Here is a 9,728-nt window from a genome sequence, read left to right on the forward strand (position 1 = left end):
GCTCACTGCAGCCTCGACCTCTTGGGCTCAAATGATCCTCCCACCTCAGCCTCCTGAGTAGCTGGAACCACATGCACATGCCACCATGCCCAGCTAAGTGTTTTATTTTTTAAAAAAGTTTGAAAAGACCAGGTCTTGGCTGGGCATGGTGGCTCACACCTATAATCCCAGCACTTTGGGAAGCCAAGCTGGGTGAGCACCTGAGGTTGGGAGTTCGAGACCAGCCTGGCCAACATGGTGAAACCCTGTCTCTACTAACAATACAAAAAAAAAAAAATTAGCTGAATGTGGTGGTGCACATCTGTAATCCCAGCTTCTTGTGAGGCTGAGGCACAGGAGGTGTGAAGGTTGAACCTGGGAGGTGGAGGTTGCAGTGAGCCGAGATCGTGCCACTGCTCTCCAGCTGGGCAACAGAGTGAGACTCAGAAAGAAAGAGAGAAAGAGAGAAAGAAAGAAAGAAAAGAAAGAAAGAAAGAAAGAAAGAAAGAAAGAAAGAAAGAGAGAGAGAGAGAGAGAGAGAGAAAGAAAGAAAGAAAGAAAGAAAGAAAGAAAGAAAGAAAGAAAGAAAGAAAGAAAAGAAAGAAGGAAAGAAGGAAAGAAGGAAAGAAGGAAAGAAGGAAGGAAGGAAGGAAGGAAGGAAAGAAAAGAAAAGAAAAGAAAAGAAAAGAAAAGAAAAGAAAAGACGAGGTATCTCTATGTTGTCCAAGCCTGAAATTCTTAAAATAAAGCCTAAATAGTTGTGAAGTGAAAATCTTATCACTAAAGATCTCCAAAAAATATTCTTGTTCTTATCTATATTATACAGAAAGTGGATATCGAATAAATAAATAACATTTTGAGGCATAGTAAATGACAGAATGAAAAATAGTCTCTCTCAGTCATGCTAATCATGCAACATCATTAACTGGTGACCCTATGAAGCCCTATCCTTTCTTTTCATAAATTCAACTACTAGCCATACTATAAGAATCCATATTATCTATGGCTCAAAAGTAGAATTTCTACTCAGCATAATTCTTGTGGTTTGGAAATGGTTTGCTTACTTTATACCCATGAAATATGTGAAATAAAAGTTATATCAAGACTCATAACCTTATCAAAGGTATACAATAGCACTATTAATAGCTAACACTTACTACGTGCTAGATGCTATCTTGAGTGCTTTACATACATGAATTCACTTAGACTTCAAAACCACACAGAATAGGTAGTCTAGTATCTATTTTTCAGGAGGAGCAACTGAGGCACAGAGAAGGCTAATAACTTACCCGACGTCTCACAGCTAGTAAGTCACGATTGGAATGCAAGCAGTTGGCTCACGTACTTATGTGCTTATCCACTCTGCCATAGTGCCTCTGCATTAAATTCACCATTCACAATTCTTTTATATAAACGTGAGTGCTAATTCATAAGCAAGATCATATTGTGTACTATAAAAATTGGTAAATAGGTAAGGTAAGAATTACATCTTTGAATAGGTAAGAAATAGGTAAGAATTATGGCTTTGTAATCCTTGGTAATGTAAAAAAAGGATAGTATCATAAAAATGCTTATCACTGGGATGATGTGATCAAACTACGATATGCCCAGTGTTCTCATGGTACTTTTCCAATCTTCATGGTATCAGATGAGATTAGTGTTTGTTTGTTTGTTTCAAACAGCATTAAAAAAAAATCCAGCTAGGCATGGTAGTTTATGCCTGTAATCCCAGCACTTTGGGAGACCTATGCAGAAGAATCGCTTGAAGCCAGGAGTTTGAGACCAGCCTGGGCAACATAGCAAAATCCTACCTCTACAAAAAATACAGAAATTAACCGGGCATGGTGGAACACACCTATAGTCCTGGCTACTCAGGAGGCTGAGGTGGGAAGATCGCCTCAGCCCAGAAATTCCAGGTTACAGTGAGCCATAAGCCACCTCATTCCAGGCTGGGTGACGGAGTGAGATCCTGTCTCTAAGAAATAAAAATAAAAATCCATTGAACAGTTTTTATTTATACAGAAATATCAGCTACACAGGGCATGAGGTTATAACATTTATAATTATATGATCAAAGGGTGTTTGTCAGCTTTACATAAATACTTTCGATCATGTAATTACCTCCCTTTTACTTTTGTAACTATAAAGCACTTACTGTTTATAGGTTCCATGTATATTCTCAATTACTCTCATTTGGCCAGAGACTTCAAGAGACTTAATATGGTAGAAGAGACCATTAACCTCAGCTTACATGTGAAAATTTGACCTAATTACAAGATTATAACTTCATATGAAAAAAAAAGAAATTGACTTATGTTCAAGGCAAATGCACTGTAGTATAATATTTGCCTTTTACTCCTACTCTTCAATCTTATGGTTAATAGGGCAGTGAAAAACAATCATAAAATATGTTTGTTTGATCTCTACTGGTCAGTGCATGTGCTGATAAGGCTGGGCTCCATTCCAGTTCACTTCACTCTTTTCCATTGCCACTGACATCTCCGCCCACTGCCTCCTGCCAGGTGCACCCTTCTTCCCATGAGGAACTGGAGAGAATGTGTGACCCCATCGGTCTGAGTTTATGATGTGCAACCGATAGTGATTTTGAGCAAGTAAACAGTTCATTGCTATCTCTTGAAATAACAAAAAAAATAAGGTCTAGTTTTAACATGAGTAAGTTTTTATAGGGAAAAGTAAAAGGAAAGTCATGGGACTGCCAACATACACCATACCACACAGCGTGCCAACTCTCTGCAAGAAACAGGAACTAAGTCACACTAACACCAGCCCATTCAGTCTCCTCTAATCAAATGCGTGTCAAACTCTGCTTAGGGATGGTCAAAGAACAGTCCTTTTCCAATTCTAAAACGATGGGTGTTTTCACCATAGGATAATACACACACTTACCCAAAAGAGCCTCTAGACTAGAAGAGTAAGGTAGATATATAGTCAGTTATGATAAAAGGAAAATGGAATGTAATCAGGGTTCAAAGGGAATCATATCCAATTAGAGAAGAAATGGAAGGGCTTGTTATGAAAAAGATGACATTTGATGGGACAGGAGCGCAGGGAGGATTTCAGCATGCAGAGTTATGGAACAGAGCACATGCACGGTAGGCTAAGGGAAGAAGTGGTTACAAGGACAAGGAGGTAGCGAGAAGATGGAGGGCTCAGATAACCTACTGTATCAGCCAAAGCCCTTTCTTCTTATATTCATATTCTCTCCCCAGCCAGCTGTCCTTCCCACTTCTCCAATTGCTTTCCCAATGATTGAGCCATGACAATTCCTCCAAATCATCCTGCTTTGTCTCCTGCAGCTCCCTCTTCTGGCCTGGACTCTGCTGTTTGCCAGTCTGCAATGCTGCCTACGTTGCCCTAATTCTCTTCGTAAGATCATGACATTTTAGAATCTGAGAGCACATTAAAGAACATCTATGACAATTACCTCCATTGTTGCTCTAGTTGCCCTAATTTTTGTTTTAAGTTTTCTTATTGCCACGAAATCTTCTTCTTCCATTTCTTCTCTTATCCCTAGAAGGTCTAAAATTACTGACAGGACTGGTTATATTCAGTAGCCAGAGACAGCTGCCCTTGCTTCCACATAAAGCCACTCCCTACTTTTCAGCTCACACATAATCTCCATGAGAGCAATCAACAGGGTCAGATGGAACTAACTCTCACTCTCCTGATAGAAAACACCTGTTCTTACATAGGATTTCCAGTGAAATCTGTTGCAAGTTGGGTTTTGTTATAGGTTAACCAGTCAAAAGCTGATTAGAGGATAGCATACAGCAATTCTTTTCAGCTTTCACGTGCATATAGATAGCCTGGGAATCCTATGAAAATGCAGATTCTGGTTGAGTAGGGTTGGACTGCGGCCTGAGACTCTGCACTTCTAATGAGTTTCCAGGTGACGTCAAATCTACTGAGCCATAAAATATTGCTTTGAATAGCAACATTATGGAGAATGTTGGAGAATTTCAAAGTAGTAGGATCACACATCACTCTGTTGGATACAGTAAATACTTAAGACTTTCTTATGTGTCAGGCACTGGCTATTCAAAAATGAACAAAAGGCTGGGCGTGGTGGCTCATGCCTATAATCCTAACCCTTAGAAGGCCCAGGACAGAGGCTTTCTTGAGCCTAGGAGTTCAAGACCAACCTGGGCATTATGGCAAAATCCCGTCTCTACAAGAAAAATTACCTGGGCATGGTGTCACATGCCTGTAGTCCCTGCCACTTGGGAGGCTGAGGTGGGAGGTTGAGGCTGCAGTGAGTCCTGACCCCACCACTGCACTCCAGCCTGGATGACAGAGTGAGACCCAATCTCCAAAGGAAGAAAAAAAAAAAAAAAAAAAACCAATGAACAAGAAAGACATGGTTCTTCAAAGATTTTAGAGTGTAGTGGGGAGAAATGCAGGCACAGATTTCAAAATGAAGTGGTAATTACTGGGCATTTGGAGTACCTAGAGAAGAGCTGCGTAGCCCAAGAAAACCATGGCAAGCCCCCACAATAGGCAGAGGAGCCCCTAAAGGAGAGACTGAGATGGAATGGCCAGAGGAGGAGAACCAAGAGACTGTAGAAACATGGAGCTCAAAGGAATAGAAACGAAATTTCAAGAAAGACTTCAGTGGTCAGATGAAACAGGAATGATGAAGGGATACGAGCCCAGGTGCCTAGTGGTGTTCAGCACAGAGAAGACAGGCCGTGAGTATGTGTTGACCTACCTGGAAGATCATGTAGCCACATTCCAGCATCTTACAAAGAAGAAAACTTCTTGCGAGAAAGATGATTTGCCCTAACCCACATAGTTCTTAGCTACAGTCTTAGATTTATTGATACCTCACCTAGGACACTAACAAAGAAAACCAAAGCCATAAAAGTGTAAACAAATGGTAGGTAGCACAACATTTCATTATGTAAAAAGTTATGCTGACATTGACAACTAGGAAGGGATATTAACATGTATGGCATACACTTTTTGTTCCAAACATCATGCTAAGCACTTCCACTTATGTTACCTGGTTCTGCCCCTGAATGAACCCTAAGAAATAGGTATTCTCCTTTTTATAGAAGAGACACTTGTGACACTAGCGGCCTAATGTGACAGAGACACATGAGGAATTCATTGCAGGGTGCCCGGGAAATAAATCTTACTGGGGTTTCAGGAGTCATAGGTTATCATTGCTGCTGTGTGATCCTTCTCTGGCAAGCAGAGTTACTCCATTACAAGAAAAGACTAAGGGAACACTAATAACACATGTCTGGAGTATAATTAGACATAGATCCAGAAAGGAAAGCGAATCATTTCAGAAATGAATGTGTGCACTTAAGAGTCTGTTTATAGCATTTAGCAGTTTATTAGATTTTACTGGTTTTGTCTTGCAAATTCAGTTTGAGGCCGACAGACGTGCTTTTATCATCACTCTTAACTCCTTTGGCACTGAATTGAGCAAAGAAGACCGAGAGACCCTCTATCCAACCTTCGGCAAACTCTATCCTGAGGGGTTGCGGCTGTTGGCTCAAGCAGAAGACTTTGACCAGATGAAGAACGTAGCGGATCATTACGGAGTATGTGATGACACTGGCTTCCCTAAGTCCTTTGTGTTCATTCATTTCCATGTGCTTTAGAAGCTCACACATCAAATTTCCGCTTATACTCAAAAGAAGTAATAATATTTGTAAGGTAGCAATCAGTGTTTCTTGCTGAAGCAATCTCTCCCTAAGAAACACGTTAAGTTTCTAGCCCAAGCTGCTAATTTTTAAAGTTCCTGCCAAGCAAGTACTTGTTTAAATCTCCAAGGAATGGTCATCTGAGCACTCCTTTTGAAGTGTTTGATAAAGCAAGTTCCCCCAGGAGACTGGTTCAGTGTTCTGGAAATGTGAGCTCATATCAACGTTATGTAAAATAGTCTAACCCAGCAGCCCTTTCAGGTACCCACTAGGGAAACAAGGTTAGCCACAGAACGTCTAGGTGGACGGCAAGGAACAATATGGATGTATTAGTTTTTCCACTCACCTTGCTGAGTGGCCAGAAATCAGGAGAGGAAACATAGCTGCTTGTGTCCTTCCCCCACTCCAGCATCCATTTGCTCTTGGAGCGCCTGAAGCTCCTCAGCTTAAGGTTGTACACTTTGGCTCAGCTTCCATTCCCTCTCACTTGCACACATTTACATAACCTCCAGGTAACTTTTCCAGGGCTAGAATGACACTCATCTTTTCCTCCAGATTTCTGAAGCACTCCAGGAAAGATGAAAGTCAGCAAATGCGTAACCCTTGTGACATCTCATATGTAATTGCGTGAGACTCTTTAGCGTAATATTAAAATTTGAATTTCTCCCAAATTCCACCCCTTCCACACTGGAAACTACATGTGAATTTTATCAATTTTCATCTCAAAGAACCATGAACCCTTACTGACCAAATCATGAACATTCACTGAGCTTCTATAATGTACCTAGCTAGCCCTAAGAACCTGAGTGAGAAAATGAGCTCAAACACTGTATACTGAGAGTTGAATTGCCTTGTAGCCCTGAACAAGCCAATAGGCTAGAATTTCATCCACACTCTTGTTATTTGGATTTTTTTATTGTTTCTTCGGGAGGCCAAAATCCTATAAAAAAACATTCAGTCCTCCTGGTATTTTTTTTTAAATAGGTACACAATTTCTATAATGCTAGGAAAAATATATTTATATACATTTATAAGAAATGAAAATGTCTTTAAAATTAATGTCTTTGTTTTTAAGGTATACAAACCTTTATTTGAAGCTGTAGGTGGCAGTGGGGGAAAGACATTGGAGGACGTGTTTTACGAGCGTGAGGTATGATATAAGTGGAAATACTATTAGCTTATTTTTCTCTTACTGTGGATTTTATATATTTTCTTACTTTGGGTTTTCTTTTTACAGCTGATCATGCCAATTGATTAGGCACATTCATAGCTTGATAGTCAGTGATGTATTATTGCTACAAAGTTACACACAGACCTAGGAATCTTTGTGCTAGCAGTGCTGCTAAAGTTTGTAGCTTTTCTTTCTTTTTTTTTTTTTTTTTTATACCCTCCTAAAAGAGTTTACTTAAAAACTGCGAGAAGTAATGGAAGTACATTCAATTCCTCATGGAATTTGCTGAAGAACATTATTACAAATGCTACAAATTTTAGTGTAAAATTTTGGTTAATCATATGAGATAATGTTTCTTTTTTAAAAAAAAAATTGTGTTATACTTTAAGTTCTGAGATACATGTGCAGAATGTGCAGGTTTTGTTATGTAGGTATACGTGTGCCATGGTGGGTTGCTGCACCCGTCAACCCATCATCTACTTTAGGTATTTCTCCTAATGCTATCCCTCCCCTATTCCCCCCACCGACAGGCCCCAGTGTGTGATGTTCCCCTCCCTGTGCTCATATGTTTTCATTGTTCAACTCCCCCTTATGAGTGAAAACATGTGGTGTTTGGTTTTTCTGTTCCTGTGTTAGTTTGCTGAGAATGATGGTCTCCAGCTTTATCCATGTCCCTGCAAAGGACATGAACTCATCCTTTTTTATGGCTGCATAGTATTCCATGGTATATATGTGCCACATTTTCTTTATCCAGGCTATCACTGATGGGCATTTGGGTTGGTTCCAAGTCTTTGCTATTGGGAAAAGTGCTGCAATAAACATATGTGTGCAGGTGTCTTTATAGTAGGATGATTTATAATCTTTTAGGTATATACCCAGTAATGGGATCGCTGGGTCAAATGATATTTCTGGTTCTAGATCCTTGAAGAATTGCCACACTATCTTCCACAATGGTTGAACTAATTTACACTCCCACTAACAGTGTGAAAGCGTTCCTATTTCAATTTGGAGCTTTTCTTGTGATTCTACAAACTTACTTTAATAACTTCCGTTGTCTACATTTATCTGCAGAGTGACACTCTCTCTTTAGAACTTTCTGAGTTGTCACCATACTCCTCTATTTGGCCCAATTTAGAGATTGCCTGTTTAAACACAAATAAGCACTGCACAAGTTCAAGCCAGTCAGTAGCTTAATATTATTCCATAATGTTCCAAATAAGTTGATGATCTGTGTTACTTTTTTTCTTTCCTCAGGTACAAATGAATGTGCTGGCATTCAACAGACAGTTCCACTACGGTGTGTTTTATGCATATGTAAAGCTGAAGGAACAGGAAATTAGAAATATTGTGTGGATAGCAGAATGTATTTCACAGAGGCATCGAACTAAAATCAACAGTTACATTCCAATTTTATAACCCAAGTAAGGTTCTCAAATGTAGAAAATTATAAATGTTAAAAGGAAGTTATTGAAGAAAATAAAAGAAATTATGTTATATTATCTAGACTACACAAAAGTAAGCCACACTATATCTTCATGAGTTGCAAATCCATGGAAACACAGTAAACCAGCCCTGAAACAAAGCATTTCCTTGTTTTCAGTGGTATTAGATCTTGTTTCCACATGTCTGTCTCATTCTTCACTGGGCCTTACAGGTTAGTTTTAATTAACTCTATGGTATTTTTCTTATTCTTGTTTGATCATGTTAAAAATTGGACCTAATAAAAGTATTTTATTCTTGCTTTTCCATGCTTCTCTACAGGTCCAAATACTGAATGTCTCCTTTACTTTTTCTCTTTTAAATTTTTTTCTAGACAGGGTCTCACTCTGTCACCTAGGCTACAGTGCAGTGGTGTGATCACAGCTCACTGCAGCCTCGACTTCCCAGGCTCAAGTGATCCTCCCAGCTCTCAGCCTCCAAAGTAGCTGGCACTACAAGTGTACACCCCCACACAAGGCTAAGTTTTGTATTTTTTGTAGAGACAGGGTTTCAACATATTATCCAGGCTGGTGTCGAATTCCTGGGCTCCAGGGATCCACAGTCCCCCTTGGCCTCCCAAAGTGTTGGGATTACATGCATGAGCCACTGTGCTGGGCTTCATTTACATTTTAACTGTCTGTTCCTTGCCTAGATTCACAGAAATCCAAAGCTGTATGTAGTCAACATGGTTCACAAGTGTTGGAAAATGTGTTTTTTGTTTTGTTTTGTTTTGTTTCGTTTTGTTTTGAGACAGAGTTTCCCTCTGTCGCCCAGGCTAGAGTGCAATGGCGTGATCTCGGCTCACTGCAACCTCCACCTCCCAGATTCAAGCAACTCTCTGCCTCAGCCTCCCGAGTAGCTGGGATTACAAGCACCCACCACTACACTCAGCTAATTTTTTGTATTTTTAGTAGAGCCGGGGTTTCACCATCTTGGCCAGGCTGATCTTGAACTCCTGAGCTCATGATCCACCCGCCTCAGCCTCCCAAAGTGCTGGGATTACAGGCCCCTTGTTCAGCCACTGCACCTGGCCCCTTATTTTGTTTTTGTTTTCTAATATACTTTGATGTAATCAGCTTGAGAAAGCAACACAATTTCAAATCCTATCTTCTAGATGCAAGCAGTGTTAAATTTGTTAATAAATTTGCTTTTCACACCTTTCTTTAAATAAAAGGTATATCTCTCTTTCTTGTGGTTTCTTCCTTCTTTACATGAGAAGAAAATGACCTCCTTAATTGTAGTTTACTCATTCAAAAATCGCAGGTTCAGTTTTCAGGGTATGAATTATCTATTAAAATCTCAGTAGAAATGGTGCATAGAGCTACCAGGAAAAAAAAGACAACAAAGCACTGCTCAAGTCCTTCCTTTAAATATAAAACATATTAACATATTCCTAAATGTAAAATCTATATTTGCCATGTTTT

At 39.6% G+C, this 9,728-nt stretch overlaps 1 protein-coding gene across 1 annotated transcript in view; it reads left to right on the plus strand.

The window, feature by feature from the left end:
• The window catches only part of ATP6V0D2 (ATPase H+ transporting V0 subunit d2), a 55,316-nt gene extending 45,827 nt beyond the window's left edge, over nucleotides 1–9,489 (plus strand). Inside the window, exons 6-8 of the mRNA NM_152565.1 lie at nucleotides 5,376–5,552; nucleotides 6,730–6,804; nucleotides 8,080–9,489. Of these exons, the coding sequence (NP_689778.1) occupies nucleotides 5,376–5,552; nucleotides 6,730–6,804; nucleotides 8,080–8,241 (414 nt within the window). The 3' untranslated portion in view covers nucleotides 8,242–9,489. The remainder of the gene's footprint in view (nucleotides 1–5,375; nucleotides 5,553–6,729; nucleotides 6,805–8,079) is intronic.
• The last annotated feature ends 239 nt before the right edge of the window (nucleotides 9,490–9,728 follow it).

The sequence above is a fragment of the Homo sapiens genome, chromosome 8 (genome assembly GCF_000001405.40).
Source record: "Homo sapiens chromosome 8, GRCh38.p14 Primary Assembly".
NCBI lineage: Eukaryota > Metazoa > Chordata > Mammalia > Primates > Hominidae > Homo > Homo sapiens.